Raw genomic sequence first — 25,577 nt, 5'->3', positions numbered from 1 at the left:
CAAAGTCACAGATTACAAAAGAGGGTGTTAGATTAAGGGAAGCTGAGTTTTTGTGAGTAATATGCTCAAGACTGTCACTGTACTGGAAAAACAGCAAAGCAAATGTCCGCTGAAAGGGATTTCTGTCGTGTTGTTTTTCTGTAGCTAAAGTGGTGACTCTTGCTGAACTAATCTGGAGTTGGAATACAGCCAGACTTCATCACATTGGCCAGTAAAGTTAGGAGACTTTTGCTTCCATCGAGGCCGATCAGGAAGGCTTTAGAAGGAAAACCAAAAAAAGCCTCTTTTGATAATAGCTGCGCAATCAGTAGTGGACTAAGCTATTATTGATTCTGGGCTGTATTCACTTACTATCATCTCCATTTGCTTAGAATTCATTTGCATAATACTTTTCATCAGGGCCCTTACCTTTGCATATTATTTACATAGCTTATATGTGCATTTAATAAATGAAGTTGGTAGGGATGATTCTGCCACAAGTAACATGCTATTAACAAACATTTAAATAATTCGATGTTATATCCTTTGATTCTGGCCTCCTCTTCAAAAACAAATTTAAACTGAATGCAAAAGTTTTCTGATTCAAATCATGGCTAATGAAATTATTGGTTACTACTGGTTTCTAAAAGATGGAAATCTGGAAACAGATTTTACTGTAAAATTATCCATATCTTTTCACACAATTTTAGCTTTGGTAAAATCTGTTAATAAGCATCATTTCAATTCTGCCAGTACCAACAGAGATTTTTATCGTTTAAATTATTATTTCCCAACAACACTATGTATTGTACAATTTTTAGGGTGAATTTTCCTTAAGTGACCTACTCTGCAAGGAAATAGTGGCATTTTTGTCTCCAAAGTTAAATCAAATTATAGAAGGCCAGATAAAAACATTCATTTCTATCTTTAATAGATTATAATGATTATAATGCTATTACCCTGTAGATAAGAGAATGGGATTGAAATTAACTGATCTCATTCTTGGCAAGAGATAGATGTATATTCATAAGAGTTGAAAGAAACATAATTTTTTATTTAGTATGTAAGACTGATTTCCTGAAGACATCCCACTGTGGAATAGTCTAACATCATTTCCTGAATAAATTTCCAAAGAAAGCTTTTAATCAATGGTCAGTTTTTTAAGAAGGGAAATCGGCCGGGTGCGGTGGCTCACGCCTATAATCCCAGCACTTTGGGAGGCCGAGGCGGGCGGATCACGAGGTCAGGAGATTGAGACCATCCTGGCTAACACGGTGAAACCCCGTCTCTACTAAAAATACAAAACATTAGCCGGACGTGGTGGCAGGCCCCTGTAGTCCCAGCTACTCAGGAGGCTGAGGCAGGAGAATGGCGTGAACCCGGGAGGCGGAGCTTTCAGTGAGCCGAGATTGCACCACTGCACTCCAGCCTGGGCAACAGAGCGAGACTTCGTCTCAAAAAAAAAAAAAAAGTAGGGGTGCGGGGAGGGGAAATAGGGAAATCAACAAAAATACTGACTTTTGTGAATCTAGTAGATACATAATTCACAGCATCACCTTGGGTCAATTCGTTTTTCTTCTCACTTAGGAACTAGCAGTAGGTCCACTGAATAGCTTTTTATTCCCTTCCCTTAGATCTGGCTCTCAACCTTCCAAATTCACTGATGTAGGGAAACTATGATTTACGTTAAAGTATTTAAAACACCTGTAAGGCACTTTGAACCTTTCACAAATATCCCTGAGCAAGAAGTTAGTATCCACATCTCCTTCCTAAAAGAGGATAAGCTGCTTAAAATTTTCAAAGGGAATTTCTTAAGAGGCTTTAGAGTATCATGGGTAGAAACCAGCAGCGAGGATACAAAGTGGAAGTGAAACTGGGACCTCCTGTGGCTCTTCACCCTTGTATTTCCATTCCTCAGCCACAGCTACATTAGGGCATGTGGCAAAGACTACAGAAGGCACTGTGCCAGGCAAGCAGTGCACAGATGTTAGCAGATGTTACAGTGTGGAGCCATCTCCAATGGAGCTGCCCATCAGCACATAGAAATGTTGCTCTTACTGCTAGAAGCACAGTTACAGGAACCAGGACATTTCTCGGGCCCTCTTATGGGACTCTCCATTGTAGCAAATAAAAATGGAAGTAGAGCTAGACTTTTGCTGTGCTCTCTCAAATCAAATGGGAAACTATGCACTAAAGTACAGAGTGTTTTTATGGAGTACACATAACATAGATTCCCTTCTCCCCTCTCACAATCAGAAATTAACCATACCACTTCTTAGAATCATTTCTGTTTACTTATTTTCTCATTGCTTCATTAACTTGCTAAATTTATTCTGAGGTTACATAAAAGGTTTAAACTTGCTATAAATAATACATCTGTACTAAGAATGACAATATAAATCATTGAGTGCATACAATATAAATCATTGACTGGGTTTGATTTAAATTATTTCTGTTCTTTACATCAGTAATCAAAAGGAGCCACTTTAAAATATTTAATGTTAAATCTTTTCGGCTTTTTAGCAGCTTGCAGAAGATTCTTTGAGGATTCTTTATTGACTGCATATATGGAAGGTACTACCATCTGAGTGTCCCATTTTTTGTCTTCAAGAGTACATTTACATAGGCTATTTACTCCTCAAAATCACCCTATAAAGATAGTTGTTAATAACCCTAATTTTATAGATGAGAAAACTGAGACCTGATGAGGTTAGGTAACTTGCCCAAGGCCCATATCTATTAAATGACTACAGCCATAGTTTGAAGCAAGTCATCAGATTCGAGCCTGAACTTTTAACCAGCTGTTACAGCAATTGATTCTTAATACAGATGTTTAATAAAATTCTTCGAAACTCAGAAATATTTATAGAGTGATAAAGGCATACATTATACATTTTGAAGTAATTTGTTTCAGATTAATTTTCCTCAGAAAAGTCAATAGTGTTTCACTTTCTTTACCAGAGCTGAGTAAAATTCTGTATTTTATCTGATCTACGATACACCAAGAAAAAATATCGTCAATTAAACTATGACTATGACAACTCTTTTAGGTTTACGTGGACATAGATTTTAATATCAGCCTCTTTTGTACACATGTAATATATGTAAAATAAATGGCTTAAGGTGTTCTTATAACTTCATCATATGCAGGGTCCAGCTCTTCTGATTCACTTTATGACTACAATTTATGTCCATGTTTTTCACCTCGATATCATTTTTTTGTGCTATCAGTAACATTGGTGATACATTGTTTCTTTAAAAACTATTCTCGGCCAGGCACAGTAATGCCAACCCTTTGGGAGGCTGAGGCAGGTGGATTGCCTGGGCCCAGGAGTTTGAGACCACCCTAGGCAACATAGAGAAACCCTGTCTCTACAAAAAAAAAAAATACAAAAAATAGCCAGGCGTGGTGGCACTTGTCTATATTCCCAGCTGCTTGGGAGACTGAGGTGGGAGGATCACTTGAGCCCAGGAGGTTGAGCCTGCAGTGAGCCATGATTGCACCACTGCACTCCTGCTTGAGTGACAGAGTGAGACCATGTCTCAAAAAACCAAAAACCAAGAAACTATTCTACTTTTATTTCTGGGATTTTCTTCCAATGTTTATTAAAAGTATTAGTACTTAAATTCTATTTCACTTCTAAACACTGTGTTTCCTAGAATATGACCAAGTGATTTCTAGTTCACTATAGGAACTTCCTGTAAAACTTCATCAGTCAACATATATCTCAATCTGTTTACCTATAGCCAACTATATTGTATGTTGATCCAGACATGCCAGGCTATGTTGCAAAGGTGGTGGATGTTAGGCAGAGAAGGAGTCTGAGATGGAAGGTAAAACCTGGGAGATTATCAAGGCATACATTAAGAAAAAAACAAGGACCAGAGGAGGTGGCATTTAGAAGCAGGTGCCAGCAGGAGTATAAAGAATAGAACAGGGCCAGGCACAGTGGCTCATGTGTGTAATCCCAGCACTTTGAGAGGCAGAAGCAGGAGGATCATTTGAGTCCAGGAGTTCAAGACCAGCCTGGGCAACATAACAAGACCCCCTCGCTACAAAAAATTTAAAATTAGTCAAGTGTGGTGGTATGTACCTCTTGTCCCAGCTACTCCGGAGGCTGAGGCAGGAGGATTGCTTGAGCCCAGGAGTTCAGAGTTGCAGTGAGCTATGTTTGCACCACTGCACTCCAGCCTGGGCAACAGAGGGAGATCCTGTCTCTAAAAATAACAGGCCAGGCGAATAACAGGCCAGGTGCACTGTTGGGAGGCTGAGGAGGGTGGATCGCTTGAGTCCAGGAGTTTGAGACCAGCCTGGACAACACTGCAAAACTGCATCTGTACAAAAAAAAAACAAAAACAAAAGCAAAAATTAGCCAGGTATGGTTGCATGCCTGTAGTCCCAGCTACTCAGGAGGCTGAGGTGGAAAGATTGCCTGAGCCTGGGGGAGGCAGAGGTTGCAGTGATCACATCACTGCACTCCAGCCTGGGTAACAAAGCCAGACCCTATCTCAAAATAATAAACTTTTTTTTAAAAAAAGAACAGAACAATGTAAACATCTGATGAGAGGATCCCAAGAAGTACTGTGTTTAGTAAGTTAATGACTTGCTGACAAATGGAGACTTTCAGTTATATCTAATAGAAAATTTCCTTCATATACTAGGCTATTTGCCTAGCAGGACCTGAAATCGCTACTCATTTAGGTCCTTTTGACAATAAGTATTATTTATAAATAATGCAAGATTACTCTGTTTTCATTTCTTTCCTTTAAAAGGTTAACTTTTATAAAGAAAAATTCAGACCCTAAACTGTTGAAGATGTCATTAGTTTCTAAGATGACCTATTATAGCTTAGGGCCAACAGGCTGATATGAAAGCACCTAGCCCAGAAGGCGGCAGGCACACAAGTAGTTTTTTTTTTTTTTACGTTAAAATTTATTCATTCATTGCACAAATATTTATTTAGTGTTCCAGGCACTGAAAGAAGAAGCTGAAAAGAGGAAGATACAGGGAAGGTATGGGGGTAGGGGGTGGGGGCGTGAGGGTTGAAAATTTACCTGTTGGGCATAGTGTTCAGTATTTGGGTGATGAATACACTAAAAGCCCAGACTTCACTACTATGCAATATATGCATGTAAGAAATCTGCATTTATACTCCCTAAATATATATATTTTTAATGTTTAAAGATACAATTTCCTTGGGTTATATACTTTAATAGATAAGGAGTCCTGAGACCTATATAACTAGGCTATGGGGAATTGTGATGTATGACTAATACATGTGATACAGGATATGTTTGCACTTGTATTTCTCTTGGGCTTCTTGAATTTGTGTTTCTGTCTTTTGCTGACTTTGCCAATAATCTAGTTTCCTGTGATTATTTCCTTAAGTAGTCTTCCTGAACTGTACTCTTTCTCTTATTTTTCTCAAAGTCAGATTGCATAAATGTTAGACTTTCTAGTATTTCCCACAGGTTCCTGGGGCTCTATCAAATTTTTCTCCCATTTTTCTCTCTGATGTTCAAACTGGAAAATTTGTATTGATTAAGCTTTAAGTTCACTGACCCTTTCCTTTCTCACTACCATTCTGCTATTGGGTCCATTCAGTGTATTTTTAAATTTCAGTTATTATATTCTTTAGTTCTGAATTTTCCATTTGATTCCTCCTTATATCTTCTATTTAATGGCTGAAACTTTCTCCCTTTCCAGTCCCTCCTATTGTATTTGCCCTTAGTTGTTATAGCATTTTCATAACTGCTTTAATGTCTTTGTGAGATAATTCCAACATCTGTGTCATCTCGTCACTGACGTTTATTGAACTATCATTGTCTATACAACTTCAGATTTTCCTCATTCTTTGTGTCAACTAATTTTGAATTGTATTCCAGATATTTTGTCTATTATGTTATGAGACACTGGGTCTTGTTTATATCCTATGGAGAATGTTGATATTGTTGTTTTAGGGGACCATAGTTAGTTAGGTTCAACAGTTGCAAGTTTCCGTGAGCCTTCTGTGAGCTGCAGTTCCAATACCAGTTCAGTTTTCAAGTCTTCTTGCAGGGCTATTTGCATCTGTCCCATGTGTGCACTACACATTAACCAGTCTGAGACTTGGGTAATGGAATATGCCACTGTTCAGTTCTCAAAGTGTGTAGACTGTTAAGAGCAGATCCTCAAATGCACAGCTCAGGAATAAGCTTATAAACACAGATAACTTTAAGAGGTTGCTTTCCTGAGCTTATCTCACTCTGCAATGTTCCAAGTATTTTTTAGTAGACTGGACACAAATAGTTTTAAGTCAATATTGGTTGCTTCTGCGTTCACAGTTCTGGAATAGGAAGTGAGGAGACAACCCAGCAGGCAGATCCTGAGACAAGCAGTGCTGTGGAGTGCTTTCATAGTTAGGGATTGACCCCACTACTGATACAGAGAATAATGTTAAGAAAAAAACCTACTGCAACCTATTTATTTTAATTTGATTTAATTTAATTTAATTTTTTGAGATGGAGTCATGCTCTGTCGCCCAGGCTGGAGTGCTGTGGCATGATCTCCACTCACTGCAACCTCCACCTCCCAGGTTCAAGCAATTCTTCTGCCTCAGCCTCTCAAGTAGCTGGGATTACAGGCGTCTGCCACCACACCCGGCTAATTTTTGTATTTTTAGTAGCGATGGGGTTTCACCATGTTGGCCAGGCTGGTCTTGAACTCCTGGCCTCAAATGATCCACCCGCCTTGGCCTCCCAAAGTGCTGGGATTACAGGCATGAGCCACTCCACCCAGCTGCACCCTGTTTTTAAATTGTTTTTTGAAAGAGTATCGGAATATTTTTCTCAGTTCTACATAATTAACATGCCTAAAAAGTACATGCAAGGCGTTACCATTATAGAGACTCTAATAATGGGTCCTAGGCCCTGGAGGAATGGGAGAGAGGCAGCTTTCTTAGACTCTGCAAGTGACCATTCACATGTAGCATTCACTCTGCAGGTTAGATAAGTATATTGCTCATACATTAAGCTCTTATTTTGAAAATAGAGCCTTTTGAAGTACTTTTTCTTCTTGATTTTACATAGCTAATTTAATGAAGTTTAATATCTTCTCATAGAACAACTGTGACTTTATTTTTATTTTATTTTTGAGTCAGGGTCTCCCTTTGTCACCCAGGCTGGAGTGCAGTGGTGCCATCTTGACTCACTGCAGCCATGACCTCTTGGGTTCAAGCAATCCTCTTGCCTTAGTCCCACAGGTAGCTGGGACTATAGGCATATGCCACCACGCCCGGCTAATTTTTCTATTTTTGGTAGAAGTTGGGTTTCACCATGTTGCCCAGGCTGGCCTCGAACTCCTGAGCTCAAGCGATCTGCCCTCCTCTACCTCCCAAAGTGCTAGGATTATAGGCATCAGCCACTGTGCCTGGCCAGAACTTTGACTTTAGATAGGGAAAAACTGTAAAATTCCAGTTTAAGGAACCTTTCAAATGGTGTTTTTGAAGTGTTTTGAACTCCCTCTAGATTTGAAGCCAACAGGAAACCAGCTGGTCCATTTTGAAGGGAAACTTTACTGAACAGCCACAAGAATAAAGAATTGGTTTGCCCTTACTCCAGCGTTGAGACGTGAGATCATAATGGTGTTTCAGTGTATTTTCTGAATCACTGGTCTCTCCAACTAAGCACTTTAGTGATTTCTTTGTGAACAGCTCTCTTAAGGTAAAACTACCAAAACTGTACCTATAAAAAAGAAACCAAATTAACAGAGAACCTCCCCAACAGTTCTAAACAAGTATTCCTGAAAAGTGAGATGCTAACTGAAAATTTTGGTGTCAGAATTAATCCTAAGGTATTAATTGTTGCTAAATGTAAGTCTAATGGAGGAGAAATGTGATATCTTAGATTTGAATATTAAAGAAAGGAACTTTTTTTTTTTCAAAATTAATGTGCAAACTATTGAGAGGTATGGGTGTTTGGAATTTATTATAAGTTGAAGTTGTGTAGGGTATTCTAATAGGAGCATTTATTATACTTGATGAAAGGAATATATGAAGAAGCTACAAAGAGAACAGGGAAGATTGACAAAAATCAAAAACATTTTACTTCCTAAATTCTATTTCTTTTTTCTTTTTTTTTTTTTTTTTTGAGATAGAGTTTCACTCTTGTTACCCAGGCTGGAATGCAGTGGTGTGATCAGCTCACTGCAGCCTCCGCCTCCTGGGTTCAAGCGATTCTCATGCCTCAGCCTCCCTAGTAGCTGGGATTACAGGCATGCGCCACCATGCCTAGCTAATTTTCTATTTTTAGTAGAGACGTGGTTTCTCCATGTTGGTCAGGCTGGTCTCAAACTCCTGGCCTCAGGTGGTTCGCCCGCCTCGGCCTCCCAAAGTGCTGGGATTACAGGCATGAGCTACCATGCCTGGCCCTAAGTTGTATTTCATACTGCTCTAGAAAGACAGATTATTAAAGGAGCAGCTCATAAAATAGAAGAAGCAAGAATGTTCTCAGATTCAAATTTATAATACCTATGTTTTATTATAAAAATTTATTTTTGGTATCTAAGAAAAAAGAAAATTGTAAAAAGAAAATTATTTGAGACCCTGCCTCACTGCTTTTGGGCATATACCTAGAAGTAGAATTGCTGGATCATATAATTCTAAATTTTTGAGGAACAGCCATACTGTTTTCCACAGCAGCTACACCATTTTACATTCCTACCAACAGCGTACTAGGGTTCCACTTTCTCCACCTCCTCACCAACCCAACACTGATTTTGTTTTTTGATAGTGCCATCCTAGTGGATGTGAGGTGGTGTCTCATTGTGGTTTTGATTTGCATTTCCTTGATGATAATGATGTTAAACATCTTTTCAAGTGCTTAGCACCTGTTTATTTCTCTTCTTTGGGAAAATGTCTATTCAAGTTCTTTGCTCATTTTTAAATTGTTATTGTTGAGTTATAGGAGTTATTTATATATTCTAGATATTAATCCCTTATCAGATAGATGATTTGCAAATATTTTCTCTCTTTCCATGGATTGCCTTTTCACTCTGTTGATTGTGTCCTTTGGCACATGGAAGTTTTTCATTTTTATGTAGTCCACCTTACCTGTTTTTTCTTTTGTTGCCTGTGCTTTTTTGGTGTCATATTCAAGAAATCATCGCAGATCCAATGTCACAAAGGTTTTCTCCTTTTTTTTTTTTTTTTGAGACGTCTTGCCCTGTCGCCGAGGCTGGGGTGCAACGGAGCAGTCTTGGCTCACCACAACCTCCGCCTCCCCGGTTCAAGTGGTTTTCCTGTCTTAGCCTCTGGAGTAGCTGGGACTGCAGGTATTCACCACCATGCCTGGCTAATTTTGTATTTTTAGTAGAGATAGGGTTTCACCATGTTGACCAGGCTGGTCTCAAACTCCTGGCCTCAAGTGATCTGCCCACCTTGACCTCCCAAAGTGCTGGGATTATAGGCATGAGCCACCATGCCTGGTCATTACATTGATTTTTGTATGTTGAACCATCTTTGCATTCCAGGAGCTCTTCAATTTTTTTTTTTTTCTCAAGACAAAATCTTGCTTCATCAACCAGGCTGGAGTGCAGTGGCATGATCTTGGCTCACTGCAACCTCTGCCTCCTAGGTTCAAGCAGTTCTCATGCCTCAGCCTCCTGAGTAGCTGGGATTACAGGCGCCCACCACCACATCCAGCTAATTTTTGTATTTTTAGTAGAGACGGGTTTTGCCATGTTGGCCATTCTGTTCTCAAACTCCTGGCCTCAAGTGATTCACTCATGTTGGCCTCCCAAAGTGCTGGGATTAAGGCATGAGCCACCCCCTTGGCCTCTTCAATTTTTAAATAGTGTTGTTCAAAGAGAAGTTTTTAAGTTTATGAAGTTCCTGTGATCAGTTTTTTTAATGGACCATGTTTTTGGTATTGTATAATATCTAAGAAATTTTTGCCTAGCCCAAGGTCACAAAGAATTTTTTCAAGTTTTATAGTTTTATATCTTATAGAAGTTTTATATTTTTAATTTGCGTATAGACTATGAGATATGGGTTGAGATTTATTTATGTTTGTATGTGGTTATCCAATTGTTTTAGCACCATTTGTTTAAAAGACTGTTATTTCTCCTTCGTATTATCATACCTTTGGACCTTTTATAATTATCTTCATTTTAATAATTTTCATCTCTGTGTAGATCTACATTTCTCTCTGGGGTCATACTCTCACTTAAAGAACTTTCTTTAATATTTCTTGTAGGACACATCTTCTAGTAATAAATTATCTGAGCTCTTGTTTACCTGAAAAACTCTTTATTTCACCTTCATTTTGAAAGATATTTTTCCTATGTGTAGAATTCTAGGATGAGGATTGTTTTCTTTCAACACTGTCACTCCACTGTCTTCTGGATTGCATCATCTGTGATGAAGTATTACTATGCAGTAGTCCCTCCTTAACCACAGGGGATATATTGCATACTCCCAGTGGATGCCTGAAACCATGGATAGTAGTGAACCCTATATGTAGGGTTTATGTTTATGTTTTTTTCTGTAGATACATACCTGTGATAAAGTTTAATTTCTACAGTAGGCACAGTAAGAGATTAACAACATGAACTAATAATAAAATAGGACAATTATAGGAATATACTGTAATAAAAGTTATGTGAATGTGGTCTCTCCCTCTCTCAAAATATTTTATCATACTGTAATATTTTCAGACTATAGTTGACCATGTGTAACTGGAACCACAGAAAGAGAAACAATGAATAAGGAGCTACTGTAATTGTTATTTTTGTTCCTCTATGTATAATATGTTCTTGTACTTTTTGCATCTGTGGTTTCATGTCTTTTATTTTTTGAAAATACTCAGCCTTTATGTCTTCAGATATTTCCTCTGCCCTTCTCTCTTCTCCTTCTATGATTCTAGTTAAACATTTGTTAGACAGTTTACATGGCCCTTCATATCTTAGAAACTCTTTTTCTTTTTTCTCTTTGTGTTTCAGTTTGGCTGATTTCTCTTGATCTGTTTCCATGTTCACCGACTTTATGCAGCTGTGTCAAGTTCACTGAGCCTGTCAAAGGCATTCTTCACCTCTGTTGTTATGTTCTGTATTTCTAACATTTCTGTTGGGTTCTTTCCCATAGTTTTCATTGCTCTGCTAAAATTCACAATCTGAGTGAACGTGATGTCCTTCTTTCCACTAACACCTTTAACATTGCTATCTTACTTCCTTGATTTATTCAAGATCAAGATCAGATTAATCTCTGAGTATGATTCTGTTGATTGCTTTCTTTCTTGACAGTGAGGAGTGTTTTTTTTTTCTTGCTTTTTGATACATCTTGTAATTTTTTTTTTCATTGAATGCTAAACATTGTGTGGAGGACAGTAATGATGAACACTATTTCCTCCTAGAAATGGGTATGACTCTTCTGCTAGGCTGTTATTATGAAAGTTAGTCCATTTGGGGGTTGAAAGGGATTTTGATTTTGTTGTTGGTATGGTTACTATGAGTATGCTATAGCCTTTAAACATCTCTAGCATTACCTTGTGCTTAGGATTGCTAGAGGGTTCTACTCACTGCTCGACACTCATCTTTTGGTCTTTTTTTGTGTGTGTGCACACCTCAAAGAAGGTCTGTCTCTACAGTCTTGACCTTCCTGCAGTGGAAGGCTGCTATAATAGACGACAGAATGGGGTTCTCTGTTGTTTTTGTCCAGCCTCAGTCTTGGGTAGACCCTTTGTCCCAGGATCTCAGAAATGAGGCTTTCTCAGTGATCCTGCCCCTCTCCCAGTAACAGGTAAATTCAGCCTTGTGATAGTTGAGAGTCTTGTGTAGGAGTTTCCTGCCTCTGTCCCACAGGTTAGAGACCTCTGAATCCAGGACTATTTTCTGTTCCTCTCACAGAGTTACAGTGTTTTATTCTCTTTGCCCCCAGCCATAACAGGTCTTCACCTGAATCCAGGTTAAGTGGGAGAATGACAGGATTTAGGGGTATCCTTCTCCCATTGGTTTAAGATTTTGGTCCTGTGGAGAAGAAGGGTCTTGGCTAGACTTTGTGAATTTCCCAAATGGAAGTCTCTCCCCTCATCCAGGATCCTTTCTCTAGTCTCTCTCTCTGCCTCTCCAATCTTTCTCCTGAGAACCTGATAGAAGTCTGTGGTAAAGAGCCTGCAAGACGGTACAAATTCCCTTTTGTATCTCTGGCTCCCAAGAGCCTTAGAAATGCTTGTGGTAGCCATCTTGCTCATAAGTACCACTCCAAACATGAAATTGTGAAGTTATCTTCTTGATACAGGTAGAAAATAAAATGATTACACTTACCTAGATTTTATCATTAACGTATAGTATATTTCAAGATTTTACCAGAGTTGTATCTTAAACTTGAGCTTCCTTGGGTCTAAATACCAACCAAATATGAAAATACTGGATAATGCTAGGATGAATTTGAAGAATCTAGTAACCTACTCTAAACATATATTTCAACAGTCAAGCGTTTTAAAATAATTGATGTGGTGTTATAACTACCTAGACTACTCATATAAAAAGTACTTCTGCCAATCGGTATTAACTTGTAAATTACGCCAAAACAAGGCAACTAGTTCAGGAATACCAACCTTTTCTTAAACAGGTTTGTTGTAGATTCTCCATGTTCCAGGTCTACAGTGTTTTATAGATGAAATCCCTGTTACCGTATATGCATGCCTGATAAGTTTAAAATGGGAGTCAAGAAACTCCATATGATTCTACTACCCAAAACTAGTGTGAAATTCCATCCCTGATGTGAGAGCTAAAATATTTATATTTGAGGTTTTTATTAGTGTTGAAAGTTTTATTAAAATTAGTGTTATAAAATTTACTACTCATTAATTGATTTGATCTGAGGTTAGCCTTGCACTTATTTCATAGTGAATACCTTTACTTTTCATTTAGTGCATTGACTAAGCTTGCACAGATTGGCAAGCACCAGGTTTTGCTGGTAAGTGAAAGGATGGGTGTAATAACTGGAAAATACTTGTTGGAGAAAACTTGAATCAATGAAAGGAAAAAATGCAATCTGATAGATTCTGAATATAGAAAAAATTGGACAAAAATTCATAGAAAAAAATGAGAATCTGATTGAGAAGAAGAGCTCATCACAGAAAAGCCAGCTTGATTAGAACAGGAAATATAATCCATGTACTTCAATTCAGGAAGATGGGGCAAATTGATAGGTTACATAATGTGGGTTTAAAAAATTATGTTTATTAGTTTGCTTGAGTTGTCCTAAAAAATGCTGTAGACTGCATGGCTTAAACTATAGAAATCTATTTTCTCATAGTTCTGGAGGCTAGAAGTCTGAGATCAAGGCGTCTGCAGGGTCATTTCTTCCGAGGCCTCTCTCCTCGTCTTGTAGATGGCTGTCGTCTCTTTTTATGTTCGTGTGTCTGTGTCCTAATCCCCTCCTCTTGTAAGGACACCATTTATACTGGATTATGGCCCACCCTAATGACCACATTAAACCTTAATTACCTCTTTAAAGACTCTGTCTCCAAATACAGTCATACTGTGAGATCCTGGGAGTTAGAACTTCAATATATGAGTTTTGGAGGGACACAGTTCAGCCTCACGCACAGAATCGAAGAGGCAATCAGGACCGGGCACGATGGCTCATGCCTGTAATCCCAGCACTTTGGAAGGCCGAGGCGGGTGGATCACCTGAGGTCAGGAGTTAGCGACCAGCCTGGCCAACATGGTGAAACCCTATCTCTACTAAAAATATTAAAAAAAAAAAAAAATAGCTGGGCGTGGTGGTGGGCACCTCCCAGCTACTTGGGAGGCTGAGGCAGGAGAATCGCTTGAACCTGGAAGGCGGAGGTTGCATGAGCTGAGATTGTGCCATTGCACTCCAGCCTGGGCAACAAGAGCGAAACTCCATCTCAAAGAAAGAAAGAAAGAAAGAAAAGGCAGAATGTCAAGATCCTCTTGAACAGTACTGTTCAGTAGAACTTTTTGTCATGATGAAATGTTCTGTTATCTTTGCTGTCCAGGGTAGTAGCCACCAGTCATGTGTGGCTGTTGAGTGCATGAAATGTGTCTCAAATTCAAAGCTGAATTTTTTACTTTAATTTTGAAGTATTACATTTAAATAGCCACATGCTAATATTTGGATAATACAGATCTTGACTGATCTATTTATTTGACATATAAAGAACTGAGAACCAAAGTGCTTGAGTGTTGGGTCCGAGGTTACCCAGATAATTACTGAATACTTGTGATGTAAGCAGTTATAAAATGCTTGATGGATTTTACTGTCTAGTGACTATAAAATAAAACCCACATAAATATAATAGAAAAACACCCTCATTTTAAAATTATTTCTCCTGCTATAAATATGTGGTAATCCATTTTACTTTATAATTGTGTGATTTTGACAAATGGATTTTAGGAGTAAATAATTGTTGTTTCTTCCAGTTAATTTTTAAAGGTGTTTGCTATTGACATGTAACAAGTGTTTAAATTAGTTCACTAAGATGTCAATCGTCAGATTGAAGTTTCCATTTAAATAAAACGCATCTCTATAGGGGAAAAACTGGTAGGTGGTTTAAAGAAAAATCTATAATTCAGTTAGAGCAGGTGAATCCATGCATGCTTTTTTCAGAAGACATGAATCTGAAAAATCATTTCACAAAGGAAGAATAAGAAAAGAGCTTTCCTTTTCAGGATAGAAATGGATTGTTAAGTTAATAGCTTAGCTTGTTGCTTGATTCTATCCTTTCATGTTTTGATGATATTTTCTCACTTAGTAAACTTTAGGAATATTTTTAACTTTTCATTTTAAACTAATTTTAGACTTATAGAAAAATCACAAAAACTGTACAGAGTGCCCGTATACACTTCACACAGCTTCCCTTAATGTTAACATCTTGTGTAACCATAATACAATGATCAAATCCAGGGCAGTAGCATTGATACAATACTACTAACTAACCCTCAGTTTTCACCAATGTTCCCTTTCTGTTCTAGGAACCTACCTAAGATCCCACCTTGCATTTAACTGTTATTTCCTGTTTCCTTCATTTTCTTCACATGTTTGAAGAGTTTCAGTTATTTTACAGATTGTCCCTCAGTTTGGGTTTATATGATATTTTCTCATTGTTTGACTGAAGTTACGCATTTATTGCAAGAATACTACAGACACAATCTTGTGTCATTCTCTGTACATCATATCAGGGGGTTCGTGATGCTAATATGTCATATTTCTGGTGATAAACTTTAGAAATCTTGGTGATGAAAACTATGCTTTTTAAATAAAATATATGCTAAAATTACTATAAAATATCAACCCATCAAATTTACCCTAGAATACAAATGATTTATCAAACCCCCAAAAAATGGTGATTGAAGAAAGCTATAAGCCTCACTAGTTAGTTAATGGGATGAGGTTAGTAGAATTTAACTAATAGAAATAAACTTCAATAATGAGAAAGAGAAACAACCTTTTTCTTTCTAATGAGGCAATTCTTCATTGGAAAGTTAGGAAAGGAATTTTCAAGAGGAGTCTTTCCAACTAAAAGAATTGTCTTGTAGTAGAAAATTGTTTTAGTTGAGGTACTTAACTGTAGTAACTTATCAAGTAGAATATTAAATGAGGAAAAACGGTGATTGCTTTAGTCTTCTTCTATTTATGACACTGGAATTATATCAGAAGTCAAGTCTTTAGAACCAGTTTGTAGGCCTAGCCTTTCCTATGAAATCAGTTTATTGTAGCAAATGTTTGTATTTTTGACATTTTAAGGTCCTGAATAAGATGAAATAAATCAAAAACAATTTCAAAAGAAATACTACATTACATATCCCAAACCTTATGACATTTAAGCATCCTCATATGTTTTCATTAAGGAATAACATTGTACTTTAGGGTTTGACACACGTAAAAAATGTAATACATTGTTAGGTTTTTTTAATAGATGTTTTTCAGGCTATAATGTTTATTCCTTAAAAGAGAATGGGTGGAAACTCTTCTGTAGATAACTGTATCTGTCATAATGAAGGTTGGAAACATTCCACGTTAAGCCTGGTACTTGAGTACTTTTTATATTTCTTCACTTGCCAGGTTTTCTTTACTAGGAATATTTTGGTAAAGTATTTGTGTTTTTTAGTATTTTGAGGTTGTCTTTGAAAACATTCTTAGGGCTGGTCACAGTGGCTCACGCCTGTAATCCCAGTACTTTGGGAGGCTGAGGCAGGTGGATCACCTGAGGTCAGGAGTTCAAGACCAGCCTGGCCAACATGGGAAACCCCGTCTGTACTAAAAAAATACAAAAAAATTAACTGGGCATGGTGGCGTGTGCCTGTAGTCCCAGCTACTCAGGAGGCTGGGGCAGGAGAATCGCTTGAACCCAGGAGGCGGAGGTTGCAGTGAGCCAAGATTGCGCCACTACACTCCAGCCTGGGCAACAGAGCGAGACTCCATCTCAAAAAAAAAAAAAAAGAAAAGAAAACATTCTTAGACTATAAACCCTACAATAGAACTGAGTCTTGCTGTCCCTTCAAGGTAACAGTAGTTGGTGTAATGGATAGAATTTTCTTTTTGTTTTATTTTAGTTCAGCAATCAGCAAACATTGGGAGGCTGAACTGGCTACCCTCAAAGGAAATAATGCCAAACTCACTGCAGCCCTGCTGGAGTCCACTGCCAATGTGAAACAATGGAAACAGCAACTTGCTGCCTATCAAGAGGAAGCAGAACGTCTGCACAAGCGGGTAATTTCAGGGCTGATGTCTATAGGGATTTAGGGCTAACAGGTTTTCTTGATCAGAAGAAATTTGCATGTAGATTCAGCACAGGGATATCTTCTAGTTCTAGGATGTCAGAACATAGATATGGGTTGTATGATATGCATTTGTTTGATTAAGAAAAATATTTTCCATAGTTTAATGAGAATGAAGAATATACGCCTTTTGAAGTCAACAAACCATGTTGATTCCCCATATTATCCATGGGGACTAGCAGTAATGCACAAGTACATAAAAGCACTAATGTATTAGTGCTAGTTGATTAGTACTGACATGGTAGTTAAAGTGTGTGCTGAGAAAAAATTCAGGGAGTAGTTTAATTAGAATTTTAGCTTTGGGTGTTGACGGTGAAGCGGGAATGCTTTTCTCCTGAGTTGTCCTGGGGAGGGGATTCTCCATTTCTGGTTTACAAGACCAGAGTATTCCAGAGTGCGAATTCCAGTTCTGCCGGTTATTATCTGTATGATCTTTGATAAGTTATTTCCTTCTTCCAGCTCAGTATTCTCATCTGTAAAATAGGAATAATAAGTACTCTGTACAATTCCTGTGAAGATTAATTGAATACTTAATTGGCATGTAGTTGCACTGAGTCAAAAGTATGTATTCTGTACAATTCCTATGAAAATTTGTTGAGACACTTAAGTGCCGTGTAATTGCACTGTCTCAATGAGTTGCAGTGAGTCAATGAGCTGCTTTTATTATTTTCTTTTTAAAGAAGGAACAATTTGAAAAATACAAGTAGAAAATTATTAACTTTGGTAATATTAGAGATTTGGTGCAGAAAAAGAAAACCAGAAATTTCAATACCATTAATATCAGAAGCCCAGATAATTACTTGTAAAGTGTTTTAATGCTCTCAGGCCAAGAGTTTGAGATTAGCCCAGGCAACATGGCAAGACCCCATCTCCATTAAAAAAAAAAAAAAAAAAAATCTTTTTTCTTTTTTTTTTTTAATTAACCAAGCATGGGGACACACGCCTGTAGTCCTAGCTACTTGGAATGCTGAGTGGGAAGGATTGCTTGAGCCCAGGAATTGGAGGCTGCAGTGAATTATGATGGCTCTACTGCACTCTAGCTTGGGTGACAGAGCAAGACTCTGTCTCTAAAAAACAAAAAAAAAAAAGAAGAAGTTTTTTTTTTTTTAATTCAAGGCATAGAAGTGCTTCACCCAACAGATGCCTTTAATTTCTCCTTTTAAAAAAAATTCCAAGCTGGGCACATTGGCTCACACCTATAATCCCAGCACTTTGGGAGGCTAAGGAGGATGGATTGCTTGAGCCCAGGAGTTCAAGACCAGCCTGGGCAACATGGTGAAACCCCATCTCCACTAAAAATACAAAAATTAGATGGGTGTGATGGCATGTCCCTATAGTTCCAACTACTTAGGAGGCTGAGGTGGGAACATCACTTGAGCCCAGGAGGCAGAGGCTAAAGTGAGCTGAGATCACGCCACTGCATACTCCAGCTTGGGTAACAGAGCAAGGCCTTATCTCAGAAAAAAAAAAAAAAAGAAAGAAAAGGAAATGCAGTTGAGACAGAGTGGAAATGTTAGAAACTTGAGTAAATGTTATTCTATCCTGTGTGTAAAAATTAACTTAAGAGAGGTGGGGGAAAGGAGAGTTGTTTAATGGGTATAGACTTACAGTTTTGCAAGTTAAAAAAGTTCTGGAGATCTGTTTCACAGCAATGTGAATATAAATACTTAACACTATTGAACTATACACTTAAAATGACTAAGATGATAAATTTTATGATATATGTTTTTTACCACAAAAAAAAATTTATGACAATTGTCATAGCCAGAAAATATTAAGGAGCTATCATGTCTCCTTATTGTGTAATCTCTGCCCTTAAGAAATTTTCTCTTTAAATAGTCAATTGAATATTAAAGAACTTAAGAAACATAATATATTTATTTACTCACATATTTTCAGTTTCCATTGTGCTTCTTTCCTGTAGATCTGAATTTCTATCAGGTATTGTTTCCCTTCAGCCTGAATAACCTCCTTGAGCAGTTTTTGTACTCCAAGTGTACTGCCAACAAATTATCTCCACTTTTATTTAGATAAATTTTGTCTTGATTATAAGTTACATTTTACTGTTTTTTCAGAAAAATGACTAGTCATTTTTAATTTTGTATTGGACATTGCAAATGAGATGTTGTAGAGACCACAGATTTTGTTATTTTTGAATAATGTTGAGTTTTTGTTTCAACAGGCAGTTATTTGGAGATTATCTTGAATTTGTGGAGTTGTGTACTTATGCTTTGTTAGAATTCATGTATTTCAATTTTGCTGTAACCCTAGGGTAAATCACATTGTCCTAGGAAATCTTTATCTCTAAGACATAACCCTTTCCAAAGTTTCACTGCAAAGCTTGAGGTATTTACCAAGGCCCTCTAATTTAGCAGGGACTAGCAGAACTTCAAACTGTCATCTCTGTTGAGCACCATCGCAGTTTAGTTCTTTCAGCCTTCCAGCTCTTTTCCTACTCCTAGTTGTGCCAGGTGTTCTGCAGAGTCCTAAAATTCTCAGGCTTCTCAGAGAAATAAGACTATGGATTTCTGCTTGTTCAGTCAAGCAATGCAGCCAGACTGCAGAGTACCTTCAGGCAAAAAGATGTGGAAATCACCCAAAGTGACTGCTTTCTTGCAGTCTTTTGCCCAATTTGGTTACTCACCAGGTCCTTCAAACAGTTGACTTTTACATTTTGCCCACAATTTGCAATTGTTACCTATAGGAAAGTTACTCCAATAAAAACTATTTCATCATTATCAGAATTGGAACTCCCTTTAAGGAATTTATTATATAATGAGACAAAACAAATACACATTAAACAATAAGTGAAATAATTCCCAAGATTTTTGAACAGATGCTTGGTTTTGTGAACCAGAGGAGAGCCTTGAAGACTTGAGCAGATAGGAATGGCTTTCTGGAGAAAGCACATGCTGAGCTAAGAGTTAAGGGTTCGGTTAGGTCCGAGTGGTTTTCAGAGGCAAGAGAGGACATTCTAGTTAAATCAACAAGTTGGGAATGAATATCACTTGTTCTTAGGACAAGGAGATTTGCCTGCTTTTAGTTGGAAGTACTCACTGAGTATCTTGGGCAGTGTGGATGGTTGAGAAGGTTGGGGCCAATATACAGAGGATCTGAGCGTTTAGATCTGATACCGTAAAAAAGATGAGCTGCTGAAAGTCTTTGAATGGTGGAATCACAGGAATGAAAGATGAATCTTAGCAATTTGCAGAATAGACAAAAAAAAGATTATAATTAAGTCCACTGGGAGGCTGTTGGTTTTGTTCAGGTCTGGATGATAAGGGTTTGTAACGAGGCTATTAGTACATGAGAAGAAAGGAAGAAAATTATATAAGAGAGAGAATCACAGAATGTAGAGGGTAATTTGATATTTGGAAAATGCCAGGGAGAGGGATTTACTCTGTTTCTTTAATAGTCTAGAATTTACTATCTTCTAGTAAACCAAAATTTTATGAGCACATGATATATGTAAAGAACTGTGATAGGGTGTGTGTGTGCATGTGTGTGTGTGTGTGTGTGTGTATTTATATTGACTTCTGTCTATTGCTGATTCTAGTTTTAGATGGTATAACTTGAAGGACAGTGCCCCTCTCTGTTCTCTCAAAAAATACCAAGTGCTCATTAAAAGTTATATTACTCTTTGGGCCCCCAGTAAATTCTTATTGACTAACAAAATTTTATCTTACCCGTAAGAGACACTGTTGATGTAAAGTCATTCCAGTATCTAATGATTTAAGTTGTATTTTAAGCCTATTTTCTCTTCCAGATTCTCTTACATGTTGGAAATGTATTTGAAAAAATTCTCACTTCTGCAAGGCCAGTTTTCAGAACCCATATTGAATTTGAAGGCTACAGATGAAGGACAGATGGTCATATCTGATCTTGAATATGTTTTTGGAAGAAATTTTTACAGAAGACTTTCATTATAGGGATTCTCTACTGTCATTAATCACTTAATTTAAGTTATCCTAACCTTTCTATGACTAAGCCATGTAAATGATTATTTTTCCCTTTTCCTAGTTTTATATCTTTGAAGAATCTATTCACTCTACCTTGAGTGTCTTAATATTTCTCAAAATTAATTTTTATATATTTATTCAGAATATACTATTCACTTATTTGGGGCTATGTATTTAGCAAGAAACTCTTTAAAGTTGAAATTTAAGTTAATCTGTGTTCTCATTTAATTTTAGGTGACTGAACTTGAATGTGTTAGTAGCCAAGCAAATGCAGTACATACTCATAAGACAGAATTAAATCAGACAATACAAGAACTGGAAGAGACACTGAAACTGAAGGAAGAGGTATTTGCTGCTTTTTACTCATCTGTAATCTAGCTAACATGTTTGTACAAAGTATTAGATTCCATGTCAAATTTAAAAGTATTTTATGGAATAAAGTCAGGTTGTGACCTCTTTTTTAGGATGAAATTTTTCTTGAGTGGTATTAAGCTTGCTCATATTTTCTCTATCCTTATTTCTGTTATTATGAACTGTGGTGAGGCAGTCAGACCGAGATACCACCTGTTGCCTTCCAGATGAGAGTTGCATTTATACAGTCAACAGAAAATCATTAGGGGTTAAATGGATTTTAAAAGCTGTTGGTTTCTCTGGGTTCCAGTCAAAACTTTAATATCTTAGGAAAGAATTATATCCACAAAGCTTGAAGCAACATTAAAATGTTCAGGTTGTTATTTCTAAGCATTGCTGTACCAGAAGCACCAAGTTAGACTTGTTGCTGTTGCTTAAGATTATTGTTCTAGACAACATACATATAAAGATGAATTCATCCCTCTAAAAGTCAATATGAAGGAATGTTTTTAAAATCATCTTTTTCTAAGAACTAGAACAATAATTTCAGGGAAAAACAAGACCTTCCCTTGCCTTGATATAGTTTGAATGTTAAGACATTGCTCTGTCTTTTCTAGGAAATAGAAAGGTTAAAACAAGAAATTGATAATGCCAGAGAACTACAAGAACAGAGGGATTCTTTGACTCAGAAACTACAGGTGAGCTGTAGTAAAAATTGTTATTCACTTCTGCATAGAAAGGCATCATTTTTTCACATAGCACTGACTTTTTTTCTGAGACTCCATTTTGTAGGTTTTTGGTCATTTTTCTTTTCCGGGACTTCTGATTCATGCCTAATCTTTGATTTTTAAAAAGTTACTTGATAACTTCATCTATGTAGCTTATAATTATCATAGATGGTCATTTATAAATTGTAAATTATTTAGTAAATCCTTTTGGAAATTTCTACTTTTAATTAAAAAAAAATACTCTGGGTTTGGGCATGGTGGCTCATACTTGTAATTTCAGCACTTTGGGATGCTGAGGAGGAGGATCACTTGAGCCCAGGAGGTTGAGGCTGCAATGAGTCATAATCACACCACTATACTGCAGCCTGGAACAGAGTGGGATCCTGTCTTAATAAAAAGAAAGAGAGAGAGAAAGAAAGAAAACCCTGAATTTAAAGAAAAATTTGCAAATTGATTTCATTCAATTTGGGAACATTATTATTATTATTATTATTATTTTACAATGTACTAATGTATGAATTATACCAATAGTTGTGCCCTAATGGAACACAAGTTAGTACTTTTCGTTCTTCAGTGTAATTAATTTTACTCACTTTTTTCTGCATAAATAGTATTCTTCCTGATTCCAGTGTACAAAAAACATCATGTGTCAGTGATAGTCAGACATGGTAAGGGAAGATTTCTCAGAATTTATTACCAAAGTCTTCTCTTGCCAGCTCAGGCAGTTTTCTTACACCCTCAGCGTTAGGTGCCTCAATAAAGAAGGGTTAGGATGACTTTGGAGTAGAAATAAGTATATGTATAGAGTGAGGAATCTGAGATAAGGCATAATAAGAGGGACCTGAAAGCCCAGGATTGGAAAGAGGACCTAGATTATAATAAGAACAGCCAACATTTATTGAGTGCTTGCAACATATCGGACACTGGGCTTAGCACTTTACCTGTATTATGCATTTAATCCATGTAACAGTCATAATAACCCAGATGAAGAAACTGAAGCTTGGAGAGGTTAACTTGTCCAACCTATATTTAAATGGAGACAGTCAAATTTTAAAATCCAAATCTTTGACCACTAAGATAATGGTCAAAATACATTATTTTAGTAGTCAAAGACATGGGCTTTAAACCCCTTCATAATAATCCTTCATGAAATAAACAGATTCCTTATATAAAATGGAATATTTACCTCTCCCCTTCCCATCACTGGCTTTCAGTAGTCTGGGAAAAATGAGATCACTTGTTTTGGTTGGCCCTATTAAATGCCGTTTGTATATTTTAGTCGTCTATATAGATTAGTGGTCATCAACTTGGGGCACTTTTGAAGCCCAGGGGACATTTAGCAATGTGTGCAAACATTTTTTATTTTCACAATTAGTGGAGCGCCACTGATATCTAGTAGACAAAGCCAGAGATGCTGCTAAGAATCAGATTATCCAACCCAAAATGTCAATAATGCCAAGGTTGAGAAATCCTGATGTAGAACTTAAATATGAAGCATGGAATCAGGGCTGGAAGAAAGGGGGAAATTCAGTCAAGTTTTGTCTTTCGTTTGTTTTGGGTTTCGGGTACTTGCGATGATTCAAGCATATGTTAAGCACTTAACTTACATTAGCTCTAATTCTCACAGTAGCAGGTGAGGTATCCCCATTTTCAAAGAGAAGACAGCAGTTCAAAGGTGTTAACAAGTTTAATTAAGGCACTTAGCTAGAAAGTAATGAGGCCTAGATTTATTTTATTCCAAAGTCCGTTCTTTCTGCATTACCACACTTCTTCAAGCAACAAACAGTCAAGTCATCCTTAATGATTCTTTTAAAAAGTATTTTCAGTTATATACACATTTACATTGTCTCACTTATGAAGAGAAACAAAGAGATGATATATTTATATCAAATTTCTAATGTTGATAATTCTAAATGTATTTGAAGCCAGGCATAGTTGCTTATGCCTATAATCCCAGTGCTTTGGGAGGTTGAGGCAGGAAGATCTCTTGAGGCCAGGAGTTCAAGGCCAACCTGGGCAACATAGCGAAATGCTGCATCTACAAAAAAATGAAACAGTAGAATTAGCTGGGAGTGGTGGTGTGCACCTGTAGTCCCAGCTGCTTGGATCACTTGAGCCTCGCTTGAGTTGGGAGTTGCAGTGAGCTATGATCACACCACTGCACTCCAGCCTGGGTGACAGAATGAGACCCTTTCTCAATAAATGTATGAATGAATGGATTTCATCATTGATAGAGCAGTAATTGAATTTTATAGCTGGCACTTGAAATTGTGAATATAATTCTTACCCATCCTTTCACTGAATATCAAAAATATTATCAAAACAACCTACCTAGAACAGGACAGGGAAGCTTTTAGAAAACCTGAGGATGAATTCTAAAAGAACAAGCTACAGAAAATAACATATTTTTTCCAATTCAAAGAAATTTCCTCCTCTGCAGCCTTCTCCCTCCCACAGAAACATCTCCTGTTTATCAAAGGTCCCAGCACCCTTGAACTCCATTCATAAGTTCAGTACAGAAAATTGGGATCATTAAATTCCTTGGAAAAGAATCCTGAAATTGCAGTATTTAGAGTTGGATTAGTATTTAGAGTTGAATGTGGATAGAAAATGTATAGTTATTGGTAAATTAAGGATACCGTGCTACAGTTTTTCTAATTTATGAGTTTTTGATATTTGGCAATATTTGGATATTTCTGTTATAAATGTCTATGAAAAACATGCCCATTGTAAAAAAAATTAGAAAAATTTCAAAAAATGTACTTAGCAAGGTTAGTATAAAATCATAATTCCATAATATTAAAAAAATCATAATCCTGTCATCTTAAGGCAAGGTAACTGGCATTTCCTTGTCCCAGTGTTGGTTTAGATAATATTTTCTTTATAAGAGATGGATATAGATACCATTTTTTGTTTGTATACATTTTTATCTAACTTTATGTCATAAGCCCAATGGCTGCATAGAATTCTCCCATATAGAGGTATCATAGTTTTCTTCCAGCATTCCTATAGTAATGGCAGTTTATGTTGTTTCCAGTGTTATGCTATAAATAAATAATATTACAACCTTTTTCATAAATCTTTGCCTTTCTGATTATTTCTTTAAGATAAACTTTCAAACAAGAATTGCTTGGTGTCAATGTTTTAAAATTTCTTATGCTGGGAAATTGACATCTGGAAAAGCAGGGTACCCACTGGATATTGGTACCCCCTGGACCCGTTCTTTGCCATCTCTTAAGAAATGAAGTGACTCAACTATTTAGTTAATTTTTAAATTATGAATAACATTGAACAATTTTTCACATGCATTTAGTCTTTACCTGTATCTTGAAGTCACGAGTGCATTTTCACCTTAGAGCATGTGGAATATCTTTGCCTGGAATTCTTTGCCCAAATCTTCAGATGGCTGGCTTCTATTTTTAGTTTAGGTCTTAGTTCAGATGTTAATTTCTCTGACTTCCCAATTTAAGGACTATGCTACAGTCCCCACACCCCATCCCAGGTATTTTTTGTAGTATTACCATTTTTTATTTTCCTTTTAGTACTTATCACTAGCTGAAATGATCTTGTTTTTTATTTCTATTTTGTTTTTAAGCTATTTATTTTTATTTCAATAGGTTTTTGGGAACAGGCAGTGTTTGGTTACATAAATAAGTTCTTTAGTTAAACTTTTTATTTTGAAATAATTTCAGTCTTACAGAAAAGTTGCAAGAATAATACAGAAATTTTTTATATACCCTTTACTTACATTCCCCAAATGTCATTTTGGCTATA

The 25,577-nt window shown here is 36.9% G+C and overlaps 1 protein-coding gene across 4 annotated transcripts in view, besides 1 other annotated feature; it reads left to right on the top strand.

Moving 5' to 3' along the window:
• HOMER1 (homer scaffold protein 1) overlaps positions 1 to 25,577 on the top strand; it is a 141,499-nt gene that overhangs the window by 95,539 nt on the left and 20,383 nt on the right. For 2 of the 4 annotated variants that reach the window (NM_004272.5, XM_047417894.1), the window contains exons 6-8: positions 16,541 to 16,697; positions 20,959 to 21,069; positions 21,693 to 21,773. The exons of 1 other annotated variant lie outside the window; for it this stretch is intronic. In NM_004272.5, coding sequence (NP_004263.1) covers positions 16,541 to 16,697; positions 20,959 to 21,069; positions 21,693 to 21,773 — 349 coding nt within the window. The remainder of the gene's footprint in view (positions 1 to 16,540; positions 16,698 to 20,958; positions 21,070 to 21,692; positions 21,774 to 25,577) is intronic. One more of the 4 variants, NM_001277077.1, reaches the window with a different exon arrangement.
• Positions 2,082 to 2,131: an enhancer, noted in NCBI's record as "active region_22724". NCBI's record gives its function as "activates an Ori minimal core promoter by ATAC-STARR-seq in GM12878 lymphoblastoid cells {active_cell/tissue: GM12878}" and the evidence as "EXISTENCE:reporter gene assay evidence [ECO:0000049][PMID:35858748]".

The sequence above is a fragment of the Homo sapiens genome, chromosome 5 (genome assembly GCF_000001405.40).
Source record: "Homo sapiens chromosome 5, GRCh38.p14 Primary Assembly".
NCBI classification, from domain to species: domain Eukaryota; kingdom Metazoa; phylum Chordata; class Mammalia; order Primates; family Hominidae; genus Homo; species Homo sapiens.
Note: the sequence above shows the minus strand (reverse complement) of the source record. Positions and strands in the feature narration are given on the sequence as shown.